General features: G+C 50.4%; 1 long non-coding RNA gene across 1 annotated transcript; it reads right to left on the bottom strand.

Annotated features, from left to right (window-relative positions):
• Positions 1 to 1,819: 1,819 nt before the first annotated feature.
• Positions 1,820 to 8,618, bottom strand: LOC107984186 (uncharacterized). Its single transcript, XR_001747313.1, has 3 exons — positions 8,545 to 8,618; positions 8,212 to 8,440; positions 1,820 to 2,364 (listed from the first exon to the last, which is right to left on the bottom strand). It is a non-coding gene; the product is annotated as an uncharacterized LOC107984186 (long non-coding RNA).
• Positions 8,619 to 26,916: the final 18,298 nt, after the last annotated feature.

Genomic DNA, 26,916 nt, shown 5'->3' on the forward strand with positions numbered 1-26,916 from the left:
CTCACTGCAAGCTCCGCCTCCCGGGTTCACGCCATTCTCCTGCCTCAGCCTCCCAAGTAGCTGGGACTACAGGCGCCCGCCACTACGCCCGGCTAATTTTTTGTATTTTTAGTAGAGACGGGGTTTCACCATTTTAGCCGGGATGGTCTCGATCTCCTGACCTCGTGATCCGCCCGCCTCGGCCTCCCAAAGTGCTGGGATTACAGGCGTGAGCCACCGCGCCCGGCCCTCACGCGCATTTTCTTGTGTGCATTACGAAAGTTGTTTTTCGGTTTTCTTGTCCCAAATCAGATTTGTGTCAATTATTTCACAAGATATGGGAATCAAATTTCACCCGAGAAAATGAAAGCAAAATGATGGCCTACAAAATGTAGTCATTTGTCTTTATTAAAGATATTCATGCCTATTGCAATAAAGCACAATTTTATGCATGTTGCTATGAGTATGACTAGGTAGATTCTCATTTTTCTCACAATCTCTGAGGTCCATTATAAAAAAAAAAAAGTGAAGAACCACTGCACTTCTAGCGTTTTATAACTTTTATTATCAAAATTTCCAAAAGGAAGTATTTGCAGAGCACATTTTAGACTATCTAAATACTATGCACTTTGAAACAAAAGATGACAAAGTTGCCGCTGTCCTCAGAGAACGAAGGAGTGATGCACTGGGTTTGGAGTGAATTTATGCAAGAGGCCCAGGAGTCCTTGATTAAAAGTGCCGCTCAGCCAGCACTGCCCTAAGTACTCATCACCTTTCCTAGTGAGCGTGTTCAGCTCTTCAAGACTGACACCAGACTCTACTTAAAAATGGCTCGCTATAAAATATCAAAAATGGAAAGCTTTAACTCTGGTAATAATTTCCCTTTCTCGGGTGTGAGGTAAGGACCTAGGCTCCCTCAGCTGTAAAATCAGGGGCCAGCTGAGTGATTACCAAGGTCTCCCGGTGCTAATGCTCCTCCCCATTACCTGTCTCAGAATGGGCTGCCAAGCTCCCGCTGGCTCATTGAGCAGGCTGGAGTCAGGCTCTCTGACTGTGACTGGGTAACTCTTCCTCTGCGTTAGGAGGGCTGAGAAGTGAACCGTGGCTAGGCCGGGCTCCATTTCAGAACACGTAGCTGCACCATTTCCTGAGCGTCGGAGTTTAAGGCGTAAGAAGATGGACAGGCAGAGAGATATGGAGGTCGCCACTGCCACGGGTCAGCACACCACCTGTCCCAGCAGCTACTGATAAGCACTATGCTCTCAGAGGGACAAGGATCAGACTCCCACTTCTCATCCAAAGGGCCCCTTCATAGAAGCCCCTGAGACTCCCCACTTCCCCCTGCCCATCCCTACACAGGTATCCTGTTTCTCCCAGACGCAGCACCCAGCCTGGACCATCTGACATCCCATCCTCCTCCTGCAGAGCTGGAGAGCAGCCTGGGACACCCTTTCAGAGTAGAGAGGAAGGAAGGTGGCAGCTGGGAGTACAAGCATTCCTTAGGAAAGGAGAAACAGCAGGCACGCTTGACATACAGCTGCAAAGCCCCCACCCCCACTTGCCATCATGATCCCAGGGCACGCCAGATACCTTCTTCTCCATCTCGGAGGCCTCTGTCTGAGCCTTGTGCTCCCACCCTGCATGTCGTGAAGCAACTCACTTCCCTGCCCATGTGGCCTCCTCGGCCTGGAACTCCTTGGCCTTCTTTCTGTCCACCTGTAAAACTCCTATGTGTACCTTGAAGCCCAGTTCAAACACCACCTTACTTAGAAAGCTTTCCCAGGTTACCCCCTGAGACTGCCCATGTCCCCTTTGCCACTTTCAGGGCATTCCACTCACATCCTTGCTACCTCAAAGAGCATCCCTGAAGGCAAATACCTGTGAATAAACCTGACTCTGGCTCTGGACTCAGCAGTCATCAGGGAGGGGTTCCAAGGAAGGGCTTCCCGGAGAGGGTCTTTAGGTGAGAGACTCCAGGTGAAGGTCTCAAAGTGAAGGCCTCCAGGTGAGAGCCTCTGGATGAGGGCTTCCAGGTCAGGGTATCCAGGTGAGAATCTCCAGGTGAGGGTCTCTAGGTGAGAGCCTCCAGGTGAGGGCTTCCAGGTGAGGGTCTCCAGGTGACAGTCTCCAGTTGAGGGTCTCCAGGTGAAGGTCTCCAAGTGAGGGCCTCCAGGTGAGGGTCTCCAGGTGAGGGCCTCCAGGGTGAGAGACTCCAGTAGCTGGTGTCTGGACCCCAGGCAGGAGCTTTTGGGGTGTTCTCTGAAGGAAGGAAGGCCACTGTCCAGATCCCTGGAGCCAGACAGCACTACTGTGGCCAGCCGAGGCTGTCCCCTGGGGCTGGGGTCTGATTCTTCGCTGTCAGTGGATGTTCAGGGATGAGGCATCCTGTGTGAAGCATGCAAGGTCCTGTGAGCCTGAGCCTGCTCATGGGTCTAAACAGGGGCACAGTTCCCTGCCTCCCAGGTCCATGGTACAAACCACAGCCGTGGAAGCCCTGACTCCTGTGCCCAGCCCCAGTGCCCTCCTTCTTCCTGCTGAGACAGGGTCAAGGGCCACGGCAAGTCCCCGAGGCATCCCAGGCAGAGGAGGGGCACGGAGGCCCAGCAGAAGGGTTTCAGAAGAGGGGCAGACCCAGGGGCTCAGCTCCAATCTCCCACCACGGCAGCCCCAGCTCCCACAAGCCTGGGCCTCCTCGCAGGGCTCAGGGACTTAGTGGCAAGAGCTGGCCCTTCAGGAGATGGCACTCAAGGCCCTTCTGCAAGAGGCACCTTTCTCTAGGTGTAACACAGGGGCCGCCAGACCCAAAGACCCCTCACTCTGTGCAGGACAGACTTTGCAACCAGGGCCCATCATCCCTCATGCAAGGCACGTGTTGCAGGCAGAACTGGATGTACAGACTTGGTGGGCACAGGATGGCCTCATTTTGTTCTCTCTGGAATCACAAGGCCACCAGCTGGTATCCTAGCAGTAGCATTTTGGAGGTTACAAAACAGTTTCCTATTTATTACCTGAATTAATCTTTGTGGTAATTCTATCCATTTTAATTCACAGGCAGAAAATGAGATTCTAGGCCATCGTCCTCCCCACCCCAACTTCGAGCCCTAGGTCAGGATCTACCCTGGGGCCTCTGCTCCTTGCTGGCTTCTGCTCAACCTCCTGTCCTCCTCTCAGGCTCTCATCATCCTGCCAGATGGATCTACTCAGGGGAGCATGTGGCCACTGCTCCTCTGAAGGCACCTGGGCACCACCAGGCTCTTTGGAAAGCACAGCCCAAGACTAGCAGAGAGACACAGTGGCAGCCCCAGAGGGACAGCAGTGAGTCCTTCTTTCCCTCCAAAACTGCCCCTTCCAGACCCTCCACCAGCTGAATCTTGCCCAGGGGTAGATACTTCATTTCTAAGGAAGAAACTAAAACAAAACGGTGATTCCATCATTAGCATAAAATAAACAGAATAACAATAAACCATGAAAGAAAAACATAGACTGAAAGAAGCAAAGATCTATACCTGTGTAAGGATGTATAACGAGATGTTCCTTTAATCAATAGGAGGCAGAATGGAAATCTTTGATTTTTGCAGAGGCTGCTAAAGGCTGCGGTTCTGGTGGACATGATTTACGCCACGGTGCTGGGGTCTTGAAGTTCTAGCTTGCAGATCCCCACTTTACCTCTTTATTTTAAAGAACTCTTATTGGTTTCTTTGTCATTACTCTTATTTTTGGAAAGTGATACATACTCATGTGAAAGTATGAAGAAGAAACATTTTTTAAAGACCTATAATGCCGTAATCCAGGGGTAAGCACTGTTAAATCCATCTGCATTTTCTTCTAGTCTTATGCACATATATTTACATAATTGAGATTACACTGCATGTGCAATTTTATATCCTGACTTTTTTCACTTAATATTGTGCTGTAAAATGTTCTACAAGTCGTTGACGATTTTAGAGAAGCATTTTAATGGCCATGGAATTATCTATTGTATGATACAGCACACTTTAATTATTTCCCTAGTGTTGGACATAAGATTTTTGCATTTTTTCACGATTATGGGTAATATTCTGATGAGCACCTTTGCAAAGAAGACTTTGATGGTTGATACGGCTGTTTCCTTAGAAGAGATACAAAGAAACATAACGGTGGAATCTAATTATGCAAGTCAAGAGAGTTTGAGGCAATTAACCCTCCGCAAGTAGCAGGCGCTTTGCCTCCCTTCTCCCTAATGGGTAATGGCTATTATCATTACTTTACAGTCTTCTAATTTAATAAGTAGCAAGTATCTTACTATCATGATAAAGTTTCTCTTCCTAATTACCAGAAAATTTGAATAATTTTTATGTTTGTCAATAATCTCTTTGTAAATAACCTACTCATTTCCTTCAGTTCCTTTTCTGTTAAGAAAAACAAAATGCTTTTAATTTATTGATTTCTCTTGAGTTTTTGTCACTTAGGAAATTAATCCTTATTTAGCCAATTAATGCTTTTATTTGGAATATTCATTTAAGTCTTTTTTCCTAAGCCTGGCCCCTGGGTTGTAAATCTTTTAATATGTTTTGGAAGTGATATTTTAAGGATCCACTTAATTATATCCAGAAGATAATAATTTTCCTGTGATCTATTTTATTGTTCATGTACTTCAAAGAAATAAACAAACAAAAATCAAACACAACATTCTTACCATCCATATATCAGCTAATAATCTCCTAAATCATCTTATTTTGCTATTTTCTTTCCTCCTCTGTCCTGTGCTTCTGCACTTAGCACCATGGGACTTTCATTTTGGTGTGATAATGTGGTGTGAGGACTCCAAGCCACCCCCTTTTTAATAACAGCATTTACTGATATATTACATTAACTAATGTATCTCCTCCTAATTGATTTGTAGTTCTCTGATAGAATATTATGCTCTGGCCAGGCACGGCGGCTCACGCCTATAATCTCAACACTTTGGGAGGCCAAGGCAGGTGGATCACTTGAGGTCAGGAGTTGAAGACCAGCCTGGGCAACATGGTGAAACCTCTTCTCCACTAAAAATACCAAAATTAGCTGGGTGTGGTGACGTGTTCCTGTAATCCAAGCTACTTCTGTGGCTGAGGCAGGAGAATCGCTTGAACTCAGGAGGTGGAGGTTGCAGTGAGCTGAGATCACAGCACTGCACTCCAGCCTGGGCAACAGGATGAGACTCCGTCTCAAAAAACAGAAAAAAAAAAAGTATGCTCCTATAGGTAGCTGGGTCTATTTCACACTATTGCAGCTACCATAGGGTTACAACATTTTAAGACATTTTTCATAACTGTCTCAGCTGTTCTAACTGGTTCATTATTCAAATACATATTCTCCCCAGCCTAAACAATCGTCCTATGGGCATCTATTAAAGAAAGAAAAGAAAGAGCTTCACTCCCTCTTAACTGCATTTGCTTCCTTACACCTGACTTGCAACTATATGGGAATGGAACATTTGAGACAAAACAAACCTTAAAGGCCATCCAGACCAACTCTTAAATAACATCCAACATGAGGCTTCAGCTGTTGCTAACCACCCCACTGGCTTTCTGCCGGCCAAGTGACTCACTCTGTCTTTGGCAGCTCTCACAGTGCTTGGGTCTTCCCTACTGCTCTGGGGCTCCCCACACCCACCCAGACATGTGCCCACCAGAGCCACGGAGAGTATGTGGATGTCTTCTTTACGAGAACATGAACCAGATTCTATGGAACTAAGTTTGAAAATCCCAGTTTCCAGGATGGACTCTATCCAGATGCAAGAATCGTGCATGCTGGGAAACTCTTTTGCTCCCTGTGAAGCAGGCTGGCTAGCCTCCTGTTGTGATCTGGTCTAGAGAAGAACAAAAGCCCTTTACTCAAGCTCTAGCTTATCTAACTTTCAGCCAATCAGCGACAAAAGACCCTAGACACTGTTAACCACAAGTTCCTGCTTCCATTAGGACTAAAACTCAACTTATAGTTATCCCTTCCTCATTGTAATGCTAAAAGTCACACCCAGAGGTGCAGATTTAAAATGCTAATGCTACATGCAGTGCATACAGAAGTGTATTAAATCCCTGCCCAGGTGCTGAAAAGGATCCTCCTCTACATGCCCTCATGTCTCCCTTCCCTATAGGAAAGTCCTATAAAATTAACTCCCATTCTGCTTTCAGAGAGCAGCCTGTCCTTCCCATCTGCAGTGCTGACTCCATTGTGCACAAGCTAATAAACTTTTCGCTAGTCTCTCTTGATTCCTATCCTGGGAGATTGCAAGAACCCAGGGCTCCAGAAACACTTGTTCCACTTAGAAAATGTATGTCCATGACTAGAATAATAATTTACAGCATTTTTCTTCATCCAGGCAGTGCAATGATGGACGAGCCTGGATAAGCAAATAAGGTTGTGAAAATGTTATTTGTAATAACAGAATGTAACAAATACAAATATAGGCACATGAGGAAATCACCCTAAGAAACCTCCAAGTGTTGTTTCTCATCAAGAAACCTGGACACACTTTTTTTTTTTTTTTGAGATAGAGTCTCGCTCTGTCGCCCAGGCTAGAGTGCAATGGCGCGATGGCTCACTGCAAGCTCCGCCTCCCGGGTTCACGCCATTCTCCTGCCTCAGCCCCCTGAGTAGCTGGGACTACAGGCGCCTGCCACCATGCCTGGCTAATTTTTTGTATTTTTAGTAGAGACGGGGCTTTACTGTGTTAGCCAGGATGGTCTCGATCTCCTGACCTCGTGATCTGCCCACCTCCACCTCCCAAAGTGCTGGGATTACAGGCGTGAGTCACTGCGCCTGGCCAGACATACTCTTTTTAGAAGTCAACAGTGACATATACAGCTTATCTGTGTACTGTCTTCCAGCAATATCACCAACATGATAAAATCAATGCTGTTGAAAGTACAGGAAAAAAGGTTGCTTATTAAAAATAATTTAGAGACAGGAGAATTGCTAGAACCCAGGAGGTGGAGGTTGCAGAGAGCTGATATCATGCTATTGCACTCCAGCCTGGGTGACATAGCAAGACTCTGTCCAAATAATAACAATTAATAATAATAACTTAAAGATACTATATTCTGTGTACTTCCTCACTTTAGTTCACTGAAGGAAAATTCAGGGTTGACCAGTGATTATTCAACGTAAAAAAATTGTTGAGAATTTTAAATGCAAACACTTTTAGAGAAACACAGAAATGAATAAGAGTGATTCTCTGCCCTTGTGTGTAAACAATTGAAAACAAAACAGAATTTGACTTTAAATTCCCTGGGGCAGGGTCCATGACTCTTGTTCAGTTTGTGATCCACAATTACTGGTATACGAAATGTGCCCAATAAATACTCAGTGGATGAATAAAAAGTAGATGTCCTTATATAACCCAGATCTTTCCTGCTTACAGATGATGCCCACATCCATTATCTTGTTTGATTCTCCAGCAGTGAGGTGGGAGGTGTGTTTTCTATCCCACACAGGCCATGATGCACAAGCCACCAGCAGCTCCATGGAGACCTCCCGGATCCCCAGTGGCCTCTGCCCTCACCCCACACTCACCAAGAATCTTCTGTGGCAGATGCGGTGGCTCCCTGGCCTCCTTGCCATGAGAGGGAGTGTCTGGGCAGTGGGAGGCCATGTCCTTGGAAAGTCTGTTCAGTAAGTGGATGAGCTTTGTGGGCTCATTCGAATGAGCTATTCCTCTGCACCTGCAATTCTAGCCTAAACCTCTATAAAGCCTCAGAGTCAACCTTGAGGCTTCACCAAGGTGACGCCCTGGCAATAGCCACATGGAGCATCCTGACCCTCCTTCCAGGAAAATCCCTTGCCAGGGGCTGTGTCCAGACAGCAGGGTTAGGATTCAGGAGGCCCCTTCACATCGGGCTTGTCGTGGATGGGGAGAGATGGGCAGACAGGATGCTGCTTCTCAAAAGCTCCCCCAGGGGCTCACAGCCCCAGAACAGCAGGACAGGAGGAGAGGTGTGTGGGCGGATGAGGGATAAGCTATTGATCAGCTCCCAAACCAATCTCGCCCCCAAGCACTGCTTTAAGAACGCTGGGGTCCAAGAAGAGCTTGTTGCAAAAAGGACTGTACATAGCATTAAGTCTAGAAATTAATAACATGACCCATCGCTGAATTCTGCTGGCACGCAGACTCAGGCAGCGATAGCCCTGACTTGAATCCCCTGTTTTCCCCGTGTTGTAGGAGGGTGCAAGGCGGGGTGCTGTGCCCGCGGCATCTTCACGACGAGTTCTCACCTGAGTGCAGGAACACACTGTCCTCAGAGCACGTCTCCCTCTGCCAGGCAGGCGCAGGACCTGTGCGTCCGCAGGTGAGACAGACGTGGCACTCATTTCCATGACACCCTCTGTTCTCCAAGGAATGGAGCTGCTGGGGGAGTCTCCATGGTCAGTTTCTGGACAGGCCTGGGACAGCCCTGACCGAAGATGCTTTATTTGTGGCTTCTCCAAATTCCAGCACCCTTTCCTGATTCAAATAGCAACAAAAATGCTTAGTTAAAAAGGAATTTATGGTAATGTCCCTGGCAGAAAAAAAAAAAAAAATTCTCAGCCCCAAAGCTAAGCTCCTACCAAACAGGAAAACCTATTACAGTAAGATGATCTCCCAGTCATCTCCAGCTTGGCGGGCTCAATGGAGGCGTCAGCCCGTGCAATCAGACGGGGAGAAATAGAAGAGGGACAGGATGTAAACCCTTTCTGTTTGCAGGAGATATGAGTGTATTTCCGGAAAACCCAAGAGAAAGAAGGATAAAACAAATTAACACTGGAATGTAACCACACAAAAGCAAAACAAATATAAAAAATTAGTAAAGTATCAGGATATAAAATTAACGTAATAATAAAAAGCCTTTATATACACAAACAATGACCAAGCAGATGATATAGTGGATAAGAAAACACAAATAGCAATAAAAATAAAAATACATAAAAACAAGTTTTTAAAAACTCTACACTTATATGAGAAAAACTTTTAAATATTCCTAAAAATTTGGATTTCCCTGAATGGAGAGGCATCTCCTACTGTTGGGTAGGACTATTTAAAATTTGGGCAGGCACGGTGGCTCACGCCTGTAATCCCAGCTCTTTGGGAGGCTGAGGCGGGTAGATCACCTGGGGTCAGGAGTTCAAGACCAGCCTGGCCAACATGGTGAAACCCCATCTCTACTAAAAATACAAAAATTAATCAGACATGGTGGCACACGACTGTAATCTCAGCTACTCAGGAGGCAAAAGCAGGAGAATTGCTTGAGCCTAGGAGATGGAGGTAGTGGTAAGCTGAGATTATGCCACTGAACTCTAGCCTGGCCAACAGAGCAAGATTCTGTCTCAAAATAAATGAATAAATAAATTAATTAATTTAATTAAATTAAATTAAATAATAAAGATACTAGTTTTGGGTGGCTAATGTAAATATTTCAGGTAATACCAATAAAAGTGCTAATAAATATTCTTTTCTGAAACCAAACAGGTATATTCTAAATTTCTTATGAAAACAAATGCAAAATATCTTTAAAAAAATTTTAAAAACAATGGTAAAGTTATTAAATACGATAAAGCTTTTGTGATTAAAACAGTGTATTAGTAGGACATGATCCACCAGACCAATAGAAGAAATAAATAAAAATAATTTATAGGCCGGGTGCGGTGGCTCATGCCTGTAATCTCAGCACTTTGGGAGGCGGAGGTGGGTGGATCACAAGGTCAGGAGGTCGAGACCATCCTGGCTAACACGGTGAAACCCCGTCTCTACGGAAAATACAAAAAATTTAGCCAGGCGTGGTGGCGGGCACCTGTAGTCCCAGCTACTCTGGAGGCTGAGGCAGGAGAATGGCGTGAACCTGGGAGGCGGAGCTTGCAGTGAGCTGAGATAGCACCACTGCACTCCAGCCCAGACGACAGAGCGAGACTCCGTCTCAATAAATAAATAAATAAAAATAATTTATAGAAATCCATAAATAAACCCAAACACATATGGAAGTTGAGCATACCGTTAAAGAGGACATCTCTCAAATATCTGAGGAAAATATTAACTTTTAAAAATTCACTAGAAAATCTTGACATTCACTTGGAAAATTGGATCCATGACTCACACTATTTGCTGGACAAAAAGTAAAATGTAAAATATACATGAATTATATATACACACACATATTAGGCAAAAGCATGGGTGAATTCCTTTTTAACCTGGATAGGTGAAAAGCTTTTCTAATTAAGATTCAACATTTAGAAACAATAAAAAAGTTGATAAATGCAATGATATGCTTTTTAAATTGCATAGTAAAAATTGCATAGTAAAAATAAGCAAATGCTAAACATCGAACTGTGAAGAAATAGTTACAACGCTACTCACGATGGGAGAACACATGAAAGCTGCTTTTGCTGCTGTTTCTCACCTCTCAGATCGATGCCAATTTACAGCTGGCAGCACTCCATGGGCAAGGCTGGGGGAAGCCACCCCACGCAGTGCTGGTTGGAGCAGGGATGTTACTGCATTGTGGAGGGGAATGAGAAGACTTCTAAGGAGGTAGCATAGGCACGTGCCTTTGACCTAGAGCTGCATGTCCAGGAATTTCCCTTACAGGTGAATGTCTCCAAACATCAACCAGTGCGTGCACAAGTGTATTCCTCGCAGCAGTGTTCTATGTTAGCAAAGAGCTGAGAATAGCCTGGAGAGCCAGTTAGCAGGGTGGGTACGAGAGCCACAGCACCCTGGGATGGCCCACTGCATGGAGGAGGAGCAAGGAAGGGTGGCCCCACACCAGCCGCAGTGGTCCTGCTTCACACAGCCGGCAGTGGGACAGGTGAGGCAGGCCTTTCTCAATGGGGAGTGATGAGGGGAGCCCAGCACCGGCGGGGTGTCCAGGGCAGAAGGGCCAGCCTGGAGTGGGTCACCTCAAGAGAAGCTGATGATCCCAAATGCTGGGTTGCAGGTCCAAAGAACCAATGTCAGGAAAACAAAGGGAATGGGGCAAGTGTGTGTGGGGGAGGAAAATTCTGATTTTAAAATGTCCATAGAAACCTGGCAAGCAAATGCAGTGGGTAAAACTTGATTGGCTCCTGGGAGAAAAAGCATAAAAGTCATTGTTAAAAAAAAATAGATGAAACTGGAATGTGAACTATTTAGGCCGTTGTTGAGTTAAAGAGTCTTCACCGTGACAATGGTATTCTGGCTGGGTGGGCAAGGTCCTTTATTATCGGAGATGCATGCTGATGACGACGTATTCAAGGGTAAAATGTCGTGATGTCTTACACTCGCTCCACGTCTTCGTGAAAATGTACGTGTGTGTGCACGCGCTTGTATGTACATATGGACATGTATAGAGTGCACAGATGCCACACTGTTAAAAAGCATGAAGCTGAGAGTCTGTGAGGGTTCATTTTATTACTTGTCAGCTCTTCTATAGGTTTGTAACATTTTCTAGGTAGACACTAGGTAAGAAAGAACTATCATACACATTTATTTAATCATGGATATGAAATGTGAGTCAGGGACAATTTGGCTTGGAAGGACAGAACCCTGCAGAGGAGCGAGTGTCTGCGCCAGAGGCTGACTCGCACTGGCAGGGCACCCGGTTCTTTGAGAAGATGCCGTTGAAAATGAACGCAGAGGGCTTCATGGCCCCTTCGAAGTTATCCTCACCAGCCATAGGCCAGGCCTCCCAGCCCCAGCCCCTGGCCCACTCCCATCAGGAAGCCCTTCCTGCCTCTAATCCTGTGGCTGGTCTTCAATCCCCAATTAGAGCTTCTTCCAAAGCATCCCCTTCCCTAAGCCATATTCTTCTAAACTATGCTTGTAATATTGTTCACACCAACCCACATGCTCTCGACTCCATTTACACAACAGCCACGTGATGTTGAGGTTTATGGGCTCATCAAAAATTTTTATAGCAAAATAAAATATTTCAAAAAGAGATTGTGCATTTAATAATATCTATACCCCAAATTATCGAATATTCGCGTTTTCCGGAGTGGGCAGAAGTGGCGTGTAGTGTGTCACTTGTTGAATAAACACACGTCCAGGGGTCTGTTTTTCCCATAGTCAGAAAACCACAAGTCTTGTCATGCTGTGGCCTAGGAGCGGAACATGGCATCTGAGTGTGGACAGGTCTGCCACCATCCACAGCTGTTCCCCTTGCCGCCCAGTACACACACACACACACACGCACACACAAAATACACACATACACACATGCACAAGTACACACACCTGCACATATGCATATACACATGTACTTACATATACAAATATACACACATATCTACATAAACACACATGCACACACATACACACATGCCCATGTACACACATATATACACAAACACACATACATAAACATACACAAACACACACATACACACACGTACACACATACCTGAACATACACATATACACACATACACACATACACATGCACACACATACACACATGCACATACACACCTGCACACACATCTACATAAACACACACACTCATGCACATGTACATACATACCTGCACACACACATACACATACATACACATACACACATGCACATGTACACACACACTTGCACACACACATCTACAAACACACACACATACACACGTACACACATGCACATGTACACATACCTGCACACAGACTTACACACATCTACACACACATGCACACATACACATGTACATGCATGCCTGGACACACACATAAACACATACAAAAACACACACGTACAGACATACCTGCATACACATGCACATACACACATGCAAATGTACATACCTGAACACCCACATATACATAAACACATACACATACATGCACATGTACACACATATCCGCGGGCGCACACACACACACACACACACGTGAGTCCCTGTTCCAGTGTTTCTCATTTGTCCACTGCATGTTTAGCCCACATATCTCAGGCCGTGCAGCATCTGGTCCCTGTCCTGGGTCGGCTCGTGCTGCCTGAACCCTCCCTCACCTGCCCAGTCTGGTGCTGCCTCTGCGGCTATCTACTTGTCCAGGCCACGTGGACTAAAGTTTGTCTAGAAAAATAAGAAAAGCAGAGACAAATCCTGGGCTGGGGATGTCTAGGAGAACACATGTGGCTGAGAGCAGCCAGGTCCCCTGGACGGGTGCAGTCCTGACCCCAGGAGGGGCCTGCCCCTGCTGCTTCTGGGAGTCGCCTGCCCTAGAGCCCCACTGAGCACGTGTGCCTGCCTCCATCAGGGCCTCCAACCCTGTGACTCCATCAGGGGTAAAGGGGCCTCAACGTGTCCCTGTGAAGCAGAAGGAACCACTGCAGCCCCTTGGGAGCAGAGAGCTGCCTGTGCTGTGGACAGAAGAGCCCAGGCCCCTCTGGATGGGCAGGATGTGGATGGGAGGGGCCTGGAGCTCACACAAGGGCCACACACGCAGCCCCCTGGCTATGTACTGTACTGGAGGCGTGTGGCCCTCCAGCTCCAGACCACTCCCTCCAGCCTCACTCCCCCTAGGCGGATGCCCGGCCCTGTGTCCTCGGGCAGGCCCCAGCCCACTCTGTCACAACTGGACCGCCCTCAGCACTTCCTTCCAAAGCCTTTCCTTGGGAGCGTGTGTGCTGCCTCACAGCCCTGGTGGCCCCAAAGCTGGAACTGGACTCTGATTCCGGTGCTCCCCCTCCCCTGCCAACCCAACAACCCTGAAGGCACTGGCCCATGGGATCCCTGGAGCCAGCCATGTGCCCTGTTCTCAAGGTGCTCAGGGCAGGGCTTGTCATGGGGACGATCAGGAAACCCTGGCTGCCAGGAGTCTCACTCCCAGCCAGACCCCGGTCACAACGCAAGCTCCTGGGCCCAGAGGCTTCTGGACTGCATTCCGTTCCTGCCTTCCAACTTCCCTTTAACCTAGCGTGCTCACATTGTGTCTCTCTTGCAAAGAAAAATAAAAGGAAAAAAAGAACTTACTTTCAAGTCATCGATATTTTGTGCAACAGCTCTGCAGGGTATCAATAAACTTTTCCAAAGCTGTAAATGTGTAAACTTCTAAAGCAGTAAAGCTGTAAAATCTTGTTATTGGACCTTCATTGCATTTTATATTTTGGGCAGCTGATTCTAAACTCCAGAAAACAATAGGAAGACTGGTCGACACTGCGTAGTTGGAGGGTGGGAAGGAGAAACTTTGCTGACCAAGAAACCAGCTGAACCGTAGGAGGTTGGACCCAGATGGACCAGCGGACTTTGCACATGGCTGAAATCTGTCTCACCAAGAGGGAGGCAGGTGTGGGCTCCAAATTAGTTTTATCTGGATGGAAACCAGTCTGCCCAGCATAGTGGTAACCTAAACAACCAGGCAAATAAGGCTGGAAAAGAAAAGAAATGTGGAACCAGTCAGCTCATGGCAGATGAGGTGTGCCCGGTGTGCTGGTTTTCTGTGACCCTCCAGGAGAGGTAGAGGCTGCTGGGGGAAACGTGGTTTGGATGGAATGCAAGCTTCAGCTGCTTCTCACGTGACATCACCTGTTCTCACGGGGAGCTAATGAACACCATGGCTTATTTGAGCAAAGATGAAATCTGGTCCCAACCTCCCCGAGCCATTCCTCAGACATGGCTCTGCAGGGATGTTTGGCTGTGGGGACCTTGCCCTCTTTCTGCCATATCCCTCAGAGGCACAATTGGGATGAACCAGGGGGAGGGGCTTCTTCCTCTGGAGACTCCTGCAAGGGCGTGAGGACTTGTGGGGAAATCCTTAACGAGGACTCTTCCCTGTCATCGGGTGGGCAATGGCTCTGTCTTAGCTCAGAGCCCTTGTCTTTGGTGGCCAACTCTGGGGTGCCCAGGGCATGGGGGCCGGGAGCGGTAGGACAGTGACGGAACTCAGAGTCTGGCAGCTCCTGATGTGGGAACCCAGGTCATTACGTTTTCTCTCCATTTCTATATGTTTGAGAAATTCTATCATGAAAATCCTCCAAGGCCCTCACTCCTCCCAGGCCAATGTCCCATTGAGTAAATCAAAGAGTTGTCCAGAAAAACTAAGGAAAAAGTTTCAGATGCAATCATGACCTAGTTTAGGTCTTCTGCAGGTCAAGGTCAATCGCTGACCTTCAGAGTGTCAGCCTCACATCCCCGGGGTCCGGGTTTCCAAGTCTGGGTCTCCGTGCAGCCTTAGGCCTCCGTGCGCTGGGCGCACCTGGGTCCGGCTCCAGAGTCTGGGTCTCCGTGCAGCCTTAGGCCTCCTTGCGCTGGGCGCACCCGGGTCCGGGCTCCGGAGTCTGGGTCTGCGTGAAGCCTTAGGTCTCCGTGCACTGGGCGCACCCGGGTCCGGGCTCCGGAGTCAGGATCTGCGTGAAGCCTTAGGCCTCAGTGCACTGGGCGCACCTGGGTCCGGCTCCTGAGTCTGGGTCTGCGTGCAGCCTTAGGCCTCCCTGCACTGGGCGCAGCCGTTTCTTGCTCATGGGCCAGGGTGAGTTATTGCTCACCCAGCTAATCACGGCCTGATTAATACTCCAAGCTCAGTTAGTTCCCGAGTTAAGGAACCTAGAGGTAGTCAGAGCCCACTGGAAATGCAGCCTCTCCAAATCCAGGCCCCTGTAAATCTCCAGTGCTCAGCCTGGGGGGCGTCCCCTCCCCTCCCTTTGTCTTTGCTCCTAAATGTCCTCTCTGTTGGTGCATTGTAACTGAAAAGGTGATCAGTTTATGAAACACCTACAGAGATAAGCAGGCTTCCTCTAGTTCTGTGCATTCAACAAGGCCTCTTGAAATGACCTTGTTTTCTTCCCCCATTGACACTTGGAGGAGGCTAGAAGACAGTGCCCACCGTGCAGTTCCCACCGGGATGCAGTTCCCACTGGGATGTCCACCTGGGCCTCTGTGCAATGCCTGGCTGGCCCTTTCCAAAGCAGCTCCACATGGAGCTCAGGATGCAGAGCCGAGGACAATGGCAGAAGCGGGGGCCTGGGCTGCCCCCAAATTCTGCCTAGGATGGCCCTTCCACCCCTCCGCAACCCACTTCTGCCCATGATGGCCCCTCCATCCCTCTGCACCCCAGTTCTGCCCATGAGGGTCACTCCAATTCTCCGGACTGCTTCTACAGAGCCAGGGGATGGACTAAACAAACTAAAACAAAAAGCTTCTCCGCAGGCCCTGCATCATGAGTCAGGTGAGGGAGTATTTCCTAAAGGCCTTGCAGGAAAAGGCAGGGAGAAGCCGGGCAGTCTGGCTCTGGGGGGAGCTCTGGAGAGCAGGCTTGGGTGGAGGTTGGACAGAAAGGTGGGGTCTCCCCTGTTCTGGCCCGGGGAGGGCAGGAAGGGACCAGCAACTCGTATGGCCCGGGGTGGGGCTGGGATTGATCTGCAGAACCAGGCATCGCAAATGAGCAGCCAGGGGCGGACCTGTTGGTGGGCCAGGTGCTGAGCTTTCTAAGCAGCAGGTACAAGCTCTCTGTCCTTGCACTGTTTCTCTGACACAGAAGAAGTCTGAGAGCTGTCGTGTGGGACAGGCTGTGTGAGTTAGGACTCCCCTACGGAGGCTGCACCTTTGGGAGTGGCGAGAAGGGATCTATTTCAGGAGGCTGAGCCTGTGCCACTGCTGAGGCTGGTTCCACGATCTAGGTGCAGCTGGCATCACTGGGGCCAGGAGGCACAGGGCAGGCAGTGATGGGGGAAGACAGAGGGGAGTGGACAAAAGACCCCCTGGGATGCATCCATCTCTTTACAACTCCAGGCCTGCAGCCTGGACGACACAGCTGTGCTGTGTAGATGCGGACACTCTCATCCCGGAGTGGAGCAGGTGCCTGGCCCGGAGGACAGGTACATTGATGCATGGAACCAGGGCAGCCAGGAGGCAGGACTGGCTGTGGCAGGTGCCCACAGGGTGAGCAAGGAAGTCCATGGGAAGGAGCTGGCACCCAAAATGGGAGATGGCACCCAAAAGCCCAAGGGGGACCCAAGGACAGGACAGCTCTAACCTTGCTCTCTGGGCAGGCACCCCCATTTTTGCCTCGGAGTGAGACTGAGTCCTGCTGGGGAGGAGGCAGTGCCTGCTGCTGGGAGGGTGCTGGGTGGGGATAGGTTGGGCAGGGATTCTGGGCCCCGTGAAGCCACCCACCTCCATGCAGTTAGAGAGCCTTTCGGAGCCACGCTGTACCCAGTCTGGTTGTGCAGCTGTGCCTGAAAAGTACTCTTAAGCCCTCAGTATTTTCATGTAAATATGTCTCTAGCCTCATGCTAAAACCACAGATGATCGTGGAGGTGAACACATGCTAAGAGGCTGATTTTTTTTCTGAAGATATTTTCATTATTTGATAAGGATTTAAACAGATTTTAACTACCTCCCTGGATAGTTCTTTCTAAATGTTTTAATTATAAGACCTTCCTGGCTTAATATGTTATATGGTGCATAATCAGGTTATATATTTTCTATCCTATCTCAGCCTGAAAAATAAGAAAATAGGATTATAATAATACCGCTGCAGGGGCAATTAAATGCAGCAATCATGGTGTAAAGACAGTCCCCTCTCCTCTCCACTCAGGATGGCTGAAGCTGGCTCCCCATCCCCCATCCCCTCCACAGGCCCTGGGTACCAGCCACGCCTGAAGAAGCCCAGAGCCCAGGGTCCTGCCCTGGTTCCGTGCATCAGTATACCTGTCCTCTGGGCCAGGCACCTGCTCTGCTCTGGGATGAGAGCGTCAGCATCCACGCAGCTCAGCTGTATTCTCCAGGTTGCAGTCTTGGAGGCAGAAAGAGACAGATGCATCCCAAGGGTCCCAGCTCCTCATCCCAGCACCTGGGGCACCTTTTGTCCACTCCCCACTGTCTTCCCCCGTCACTGCCCACCCTGTGCCTCCTGGCCCCAGTGGTGCCAGCTGCACCTAGACTGTGGAACCAGAGTCCCGGTCCCTTCCTGAATGATGATGACATGCTGGGGGACAAGATTTCCATGTAGTCCCCAGCACTGCCCAGAGCCCAGGTCCCATCCCAGGTAAAGACGATGACCCCCTTGGGGGACGAGTTTTCCACGCGGTGCCCAGCACTGTCCAGAGCCCGGGTCCTTTCCCAGGTGATGGTGATGCCTCGGAGGACAAGCTTTCCAAGTGGTGACCAGCACTGCCCAGAGCCTGGTTCCCTTCTCAGGTAATGATGATGACCCCTTGGGGGACAAGATTTCCACGTGGTGCACAGCACCGCAGAGCCCATTCTGTGCCAGCCATCTCCACAGGAAACTCCTCACCCTGCTCCTGCAGCCTCCTTAACATGGGCACCCTTCCCAGTGGGAGAAGAATCTGAGCTTCCAAAAGTTTAAAGAACTTACCCCAGCACCCCTGAGAACCACCAGTGCTCTCTGACCCCACAGCCTCCACTTCTAAACAACTCTGACTCATCCGTGGGCTCTGGGGGAAAACTGAGGTTTACATAGGTGGTTCTGGGTGAGTCGCTTCTCCTGTCTAAGCCTCAGCGGGGCATATGAACGGCCCCCAGAGCATCATAAACGCTGGAGGAGAGGACTGATGGCTGTGGATGGACACAGCCGGTGCCTGTGCATAGGAAGCTGTCTCTGGGGATTGCACCTCTCGTATTATTGCTGTGGGGCCGAGAGCAGTGGCTGGATGTGCGGGTCCTCGAGGCAGCCTGTCCGTGTCTTAGCCTGAGCAATCACTGCCTCTCTGTGTCTCATTCCGCCCGTATATATAATGGGGCAGTCCCCTTGACTGTGCCACTGGTGTGCATGAGGATGACCTAAGTAAACACCTTGATCGCTTCGAGAACCGCCGGGCAGAGGGCTGGCCTTTGCACTGCTGAGCTGCATCGCTGCTGGTGTCCCACTGCCACAGGCTGGACAGGCCGAGCTAGGAGGGCCCAGTGCTCACGTCTGCCGAGCTAGGAGGGCCCAGTGCTCACGTCTGCCGAGCTAGGAGGGCCCAGTGCTCACGTCTGCTGAGCTAGGACGGCCCAGTGCTCACGTCTGCTGAGCTAGGACGGCCCAGTGCTCACGTCTGCTGAGCTAGAAGGGCCCAGTGCTCACGTCTGCTGAGCTAGGACGGCCCAGTGCTCATGTCTGCTTTGGCTCTACTTTATACTCTTCAAGGGCAGGAGCCAAGTCAGCTCCATGTCTGACCCCAGAACATAACAGGCTCTGGCGTTGGTCAGTGCTCAGTATCTGTTGTGCTGAATCGCCATGTGCAACCCCGTTGTTTGACCATCACAGACGGAGATGAGGTGGAGGCAGGGAATCCAGGCAGCCAAGTGACCCCACTGGAGTCCGGGCAGCCAGGTGACCTCTCCTGGATTCCAGGCAGCCGAGTGACCCCACCTGGACAGCAGTTCCCTTGGTTGGCACCCTGGGTCTGCTGTCCCGCCTTTCTGATAAATTGTCTAGGCTGTTGAAGTCCCAGTTGGCAGAGGAAGAGTGGATGGAATGGGCCAGGATGAGGCGCAATTTACTGCCAGGCTGCGAGCACCCACGGCTGTGGAGCAAGGGCAGAGCAAACTTCATTCCACTTCCAAGGCACTGAGCTATGTCGACACATTCATAGCGGAACGGTTGGGGCCTTTATGGGCCATTTCCATTTCTAAAATATGGTGTAAGTTGCAAAGTGATGATGCAAATGGCAAGAGATATTTACTATATGTGTAGGACTGCAATAAATATTTCTTTTATGTCCTAAATAAAACCCCAAAATTGTGAGTGTTTTGTGGGCCTCTTTTATGTCTTCCCATTATGGTCCTCGTCTTGTGATTTAGCCAAAATTTGGTGGCAGTGAACATGAGCTACAATGGAGCTATCTCTGACACTGAGCACAGCCATGCACAGAGCTTGTCTTTCTGCCAGTGTCCTGGAGGGAGCCCCACCCAAGAGAAACAGAAAACAGTCAGGACAAAGACGGGTGGCACCTCAACATACAGGGAAACAGCCACCGAATGCAATACGCTGATTTCCGCCCTTAGAATCCACGAGTAGATGAGGACTCCTGTTCTCATATCTCAGAGGGCAGTGTATTATATAAAAGATGAAGTAGGCAAAGACGGCGCATTCACAAATACATTGGAATCAAGAGAGCATTTCAATTCCGTTAGCCTGAGCTACAAAAAAAATAGAGGGTGCATATCTCTGACTTTGTTATTAAATGTGCATTTTGGAGAAGTGGAGGGAGTTGAAATGGTAGTAGAAATGATTCATTTCTCAGCACACTTTGCCAGAAGGTGATTTATTTTAAAAAGCATATGGACGCCCACATTTCTCCACTTCTCAGGCAGAATTAGAGGACTGAAATGGAGAGATCTATCTCGGATGGACGTGGAGATGAATCAAGTAAAATCACCCACTGAAGCCAACGCTGCACTCTTTCTAAAAGTCTAGAGAAAGAATTTGTCCTCCGGTGGGAAAAATCATCCAGTTTGTTTCTGTTTCCTTGACTTCTAACTGCTTGGGGTAGAGATTATCTCCCCAAATGATGCCAGGCAGGCCCAAGACCGGGTTCCCCAGAAATGAGTCATGGACAGGAGTTTACGGAATTGACACATCCAGGTAGGGTTGCTGGAGATTCAGAAATGTGGAGGCTCTCATGCGTTCTGTCTGTGATATAAACCCTCATGCCAGCCTCCCAGGGGAGGGTCTGCCTGAATAGGAGCCACTGGGGGTCGTATGTAGAGACAGGCAGGCTATTTTAGAGCAATGGGGCTGTTCAGGGACACACACACACAGTGCATGCACATACACACATACACACATGTGCACTTACACACCCACACCCCCATATGGTGCATGTTCACACATGTGCACGCACACACACACACATCAGCAGGGAGGGGCTCAGCCCCAGTGGCTCCATACTGCTTTTCTGGGCCCCAGCTCAGTTCCGGGAGCTCTCCCATCAGGCTGGGGATGCAGAGTGCTTGATCCCAAGCCCTGCCCTCAAAGGCACATAAACCCAAGAGGACATTCTTTTCTTGCTAGTCCAACAAAAGCATTTCTGAAATAAAAAGTTCTGTTTAGAACGTCTTCTTGCTCCAACTGGCCAATATGACCCCTGCCACATTTTTTCCTTAGACAATCTTGGCTTGCAATCCTGGTGGGCAGAGGAGATAGGGCTGGATCCTAGTTCCAGGAGAGAGGGTGGGATGCTGGAGCAGGTGGCAGAAATGTCGTAGTTTGGCCCCGAGCCTGTGTGCAGTGAGCTTCCTTCTTTACAGACAACCACCTCACAGGAAATGTGCCAGGTCATAAGAGCAGAGAAAAAGCCAAAACCAGGAAACAAGCATCGCTCTGAGTGAACATTCTCTGCCTGATCTGAGCAAGGCATGCATTCTCGGTGGGCGGGACAGTTGGTGTTTATGTAGTTGCTACAGACCTCTGAGTGGAAGTCTTGCTGTGACCCCTGTGTCTGGAACTCCAGCAGAGGGGTGCACTCACATGAGCACACATTCTGCAATGGGAGAAGCTCTGCCCAGGAGTGAACTGAGCTCAAGGCCAAGGCCAACGTTCCTTGTTTTATCTTCTCCCAGCAGATGGAGGCTGGAAAGGCTCTGGAGGAGACAAGGCTTGGATTGGGCAGCAGGAAGAGATTCCAGCATGGGGGGAGTATTCAGACCCTTCTTGACCTTGACGGTCAGCAGGGTCTCTCAGCCTGGCAGGTCCACAGGGCATCCCAGGGTCAGTGGCCCCCACACTGGGGCACCAGTCTTGGGCGGCCTTGCAGGGCAAGAGCTGGAGTGAGGCTTGCTGGGCCGACAGGACTGGGAGTGTGGAACACAATGCCTGAGTCTCTGTGCCTCTGATACAGGCAGATGTGGTGGGCACACTGGGCTCCTGGCCTGCATAGCAGGATGGTCACGTGGGCTGTTCCAACAAGCTTAGTGGCAATTCGTGAAAATGAGAAATCTGACCACGGCTACTTTTTTCTTATTTTCCTTTCCTCTCTACCTCAATTCTGTCAAAAATTTTAAAACAGCAAATGGCCAAGTTCAGTGGCCAAAGAGCAACCCAGCCACCTGTCCCCAGACTGGCCAGTTCCTGCCAGGGTGGCCAGCTGGAGCCTGCGGTCAGGACCTCCCGACCAACAGGAAGGGCACCTCTCTGCCTGAGGTCAGAAGCTGCTGGAAGATCTATGCTGTCCCCAAGACGGAGCCCCTGCAGGCTGCCCAGCATGGGTCAGGGCAGGGCAGGTGGAGGAGGACTGGCCAGTGTAGAAGGCAGCATGGGTCAGGGCGGGGCAGGTGGAAGTATAGAAGGCAGCACTCACCTGGCTGGAGGCTGGACTTGTGGTCACAGGGTCCCCGGCCTGAGGCTTTGCCTGATGGATGCTGCTCCCTTTGCCTGGTGGGAGCTCTGAGCTGCTCTGAATGAGGGCATATGGGATGCTGGGAGTGAAAACCAGTGGCCGGACACAGAGCTTCTCCGTGAGTAGTGGCGGGATTGTGGCCCAAGGCCGGAGGGGCGGCAGGTGGGGCGGCAGGGAGAGGACTGCGTCCTGTGTCAGGCTGATCTCTACAAAGGAAACCCCCTTTTCCACTCTTGGGACACCTCAGATTCCCCCATCGTACCAGCCCAGGGATAAATCCAGGATGGCCACATGGAAAATAGCAGCCCTGTAGTTTAGGCTCAGCCTGCCCATGTAGGAACACTCGTCTTACCCCTAAGCCCCATCTCAGCTCCTCCTCCAAATTCTGGGAGCCTGGAGAATACCCGCTATCATTTCAGCCTTTTCTAAAAGTGTCTGCTTTGGTTTCAGAGACCGGCTGCCAAGAGTTCAGTGGGCATAGGTGCTGCAGGCGCAGCGTCTGTCCGCGTTTGGGCAGGCTGCCCACTGACCTGGGCAGAATAGAGAGGAAGTTGCTATTGAGCTGCTCATTTATGGAACAGCTTCATATCGGCACAGTCTCTGTTTGTGGATTATTCTAGCAGTGCCCAGAGCAAAATGCCTGCACCAGGCTTTGAAGGGAACGAGTTGGCAAAGTCATCTGATTACCAACTTTTATGTGTGGAGGAGATATGCCGGCAGAGCAAGAGAGCAGCTGTTTTCATTTGTGGTTTGCAAACCAAGGTCGCGGCGGGTTGAGAGTATTTGGACGAGGTGACTGGGCTGGAAGTAATTCATCATTTCAGGATGGCCTGGGCCCTTGCGGCACATTCACACGCTGCCCAACACACACTGCATTGGAAAACCCCAGTGACTGTGTGCTAAGTCGACGGAGAGATGGTACACAGCTAACTGGCTTTACAATTCCCATCCCGCTCCAGACAGGGGTTTGTTAGATCGGGAATTAGGCTGTGTGGTGTCCATCTGGCCACACATTCCCCACTCAGGCAATTGATCCATTCAATCACTCATGTGCCCTCTCTTGCTGAAGAGGTTGCTGACATCCCAACCACAGGGAATAGATCCTGTGTAATGGGATGCAGGGCAGGGGTCAAACGCGAGAATGACCCCACGACTGCTCCCCAAACTCAACATGACATGAACTTGGATGGGATGGATCAGAGAAGAGATGGTCCAGGTCACTGCTGAGAGAAAGGTTAGTGACCTGCAGGACTCGGTTCCAATGAGGCAGGAGGTGCTCGTGTATCTAAGCAGAGAGGCACCAATGAGAACAGGAAGAGGGAGCTTTGAAAAATAAGGGAGAAAATAGGGCAATTGTCCACAGTGCTGACTGAACTGCTGATTGGGGAAGAGAACTGGCTCAACGGCCCTGAGGACATGGGCTCGTGGGAAGGGCCACCCACACGGTAGAGACGAACGTCCCAGACTTCAGCTTCCTCTGCGATGACTGGAGACTCACAGGAGGTGTTGTCTCTGCTCTGAGCTCTGCTTGCCAAAGAGCCTCTGGGTGGGCCTTGTCTTCTCGTGGGGATCTGCCCCTAGACGCCTGAGCAGCCGTCGGTCAGGGCAAACCCTCTGCTTCCCAGGCCACCGGCCTCGTCATCGGAAAGGAAGCAGTCAGATTGTACATTGGCTCTGAGTGCAGTGTGGTGGGACATATCCCCGGAGAGCCAGAGCCACTCTCAGGAGGCAGCTGCATTACGGTCCCCTGCCTGCCTGTCCAGCTAGGGGCCAGACCCCCATCAATTCAACTCCCCTGGGAGAGACACTGGCAGAGGTGACTGGGGTCTCCAGGGGACTCACCTCTGCAGTGCAATGGGCAGTGCTCCACCTGATTTCCTTCTCTATGCCTTGGGAGAAGCTGAAGAGGATCCTCGTGTCCGCCATACCTGCTGGGCTATTCCAGACACACTTCTGTATCACGCTCGCCAGCGCCCTCTAAGAGGCAGAGCTGTGAGTGCACCCAACGCGCAGATGGGGAGACGGTGGCTCAGACAAGCTGTCGCAGCTCAGGCTCTCCAGCCCCAGGACCAACAGCGGAAACTACCAGGCCTTTACCAGAGCCATGCGAGGCCCTGGGCAGACCACAGCAGCGCAGGATGATGTGGGCTGGCCCCTCACCTCCAGGAGGGAGGTCTGACGATGGCATTTTGTCTGAGATGCCCGTATCATCACTCAGGCTCGTCATGAGGACGGGCCGCAGCTCCCAGGGGTGTGCCAGAGCAATTGTCTCAGCCGGTGACTCAAGGAAGGAGGAGATTCGTGGGCAAAGGCCTGGAGACGCTGTTTGCCCGGCAGCCACGTACAGGCGCCTGCGTCCCGGCCTCTGCTCGCCTCGTGATCCTCATCTCGAATCATGTGATTTGCAGTGGCCTGAGCACGTCCCCCAAAAACTCACGTGTGAAACCAAACCCCAAGGTAATCGTGTGAGGAGGTGGGGCCTTTGGGAGGTGATTAAGAAATGAGGGTGGAGCCTTCAGGAATGGGATCAGTGTCTTATCAGACAGGCCCCAGAGAGCTCCCTCGCTCCCTCTGCCCTGTGGGGACACAGCCAGGAGGGCCCCGTCTTTGAGGAAGGGGCCCTCACCAGACGCCAACTCTGCCGGTGCCTTGATCTTCGACTTCTAGACTCCAGAACCGTGAGAATTAAAGTCCTGTGGTTTTAAGCACCCCAGGGTAGGGCAAGGGGTAACAGCAGCCTGGAGCACTGTGCACCTGCCCGTCTGGTTTCCGCCTGCCTCCCCAGGTCCAAGTTCCCCGAAAGCAAGACGCACGCCATCCTGTTTCCTGCTGGAGCCTCTGTGTTGGCGACAGTGCCCCGGCATATCTTAGGAACTCATCAGTATTTGTTGAACAAATGAAGGAATGTGACACTTACTATATTGTCTCGCTCTCCATGACGTACATTGAAGGGATTTTGAGAAGCCCCTGGTTGGCCTGTGTCATGTCTCAGCTGTTCAGCATGGGTCCCGTGCCTTTCAGAGGCAGAGCACCAAAGATGCAGCCGACCAGACGCACCCTGAGGGAATGGCCGCTGCTGGCAGTTCCCTGGGCAGATCTTGTTACTGTCCTCAGAGCCTCAGTGTGAGCGGCCCCTTCTGCCTGGAAGGCTCTGCTCCTGAGTTCCCCCAGCTCAACCTCAGGACTTGTCTGTCCCCCTCACTCTCCCCACTTGCTCCCCTCCCACAGTCCCCCTGCACACTCCCAGGCAGCATGTGCCACCCTGTGTGTCAGTGGCTTGATGATCTCTGAGCTGCTTGAAGACCAGGCTTCCGAGGCTCCCTTCCAGCAGTGCCCAGCCCAGGAGACGCAGAGCACACGTCAAAGGAATAAAGGAATGAGCGCCTGCAGGAAGGGACGTTACTTCTCACAAAGCCACAGCCCCAAGTGCCCTGGGAGAGGCCCAGGGTCCAGTGCAGGGTGTGGTTTGCGCATCTGGAGTCAAACAGACTTCTGTGCAAGTTCTGGCTGTGTCCCTATTACCCAGACTTCGGACAAATTGCTCACTCTTTCTAAACTTCAGAGTCTTCTGTGAAGTGAGAGTGGCAATAGGATTTACCTCAAAGGACTGTTGAGAGGACAAAATGAGTCAAGGAAGAAAGGACTGAGCTCCACACTGGTCTAGTATGAGCATTTGCTCAATTACTCACTATGATTAGTATCCGGATTATTTACAGATCACGGGTCATGGTCATTTGGACATAGGAGCATGTTCCACTTACAATGACTGTGCACCAATCACCTGCAAACAGTGGCTTAAAACAATGACCCCTTTGATTTTGCTCCTGGGTGTGCGCTTTGGGCAGGGCTCAGTGTGGAGCTGGTGTCCGCCCAGCTCAGTGTCAGAAGGTGCCTTCAAGGGCTGGGAGCTGGGCTCCTAGGAGTCTCCCGCACTAGCTCATGTCGCCTGAGGCCTCAGCTGGGGCCTCTCCATGCAGCCAGGGCTTCCTCACACTATGGTGGCTCCCACAGGAGAATGTCCTGGGCAAGGAGGAGACAGGCAGAGGCTGCCTCCTTTCAGAGCCTGGCCTGGCAAGTCACATGCATCCTCCTCGTGCTCTCTGGTTGAAAGAAGTCACCAGTCCCTGCTGGATTCACGGGGAGGGAACCCAGACCCCACCCTTTGTCATGGCCATGGCAAGGGGAGCACGTGGACTGTGGGGTATGTCCATGTGTCTCTGTAAAGCATGCAGTGGTGAGGGGGGAGCACAGCCTGCACTGTGTAGATAGACACTGCTGGTCCTATGCCTGGAGAAGCCACCGGAGCCCCAGAAGAGGCTATTTCCACATGGCTTCCACTCCCTCACCTCCAATACAATAAATACGCATGACTTTAAGATCCCCAAATGATTTCTAAGTGTAATGCAATTTTTAAAGATCGAGTCTTGGAAAATAGAGCTTGGAGGCAGGAATGGATTCAATTGAAGACAAAATCCCTAAAACTGTATGGAAACAATTCTCTGTTTGCTCTGAATTCTGCTCTCCCGAGCAGCTGTCCGAATCCCTGTTGTCTGTGCCCCCTCACCCCACTGCTGTCCTCTGTCCCCCACTGTCCCTGTTCTCACGGGGACGGCCCTCCCTCCTCATTGCCTGTGCCCAAGAGCACAGTGACTTTACAAATGCCGATCTTCAAGGGTCTCCTCATGTTGGCAGGCCCGCCAAGG

The sequence above is a fragment of the Homo sapiens genome, chromosome 10 (genome assembly GCF_000001405.40).
Source record: "Homo sapiens chromosome 10, GRCh38.p14 Primary Assembly".
In the NCBI taxonomy this organism is placed as follows: domain Eukaryota; kingdom Metazoa; phylum Chordata; class Mammalia; order Primates; family Hominidae; genus Homo; species Homo sapiens.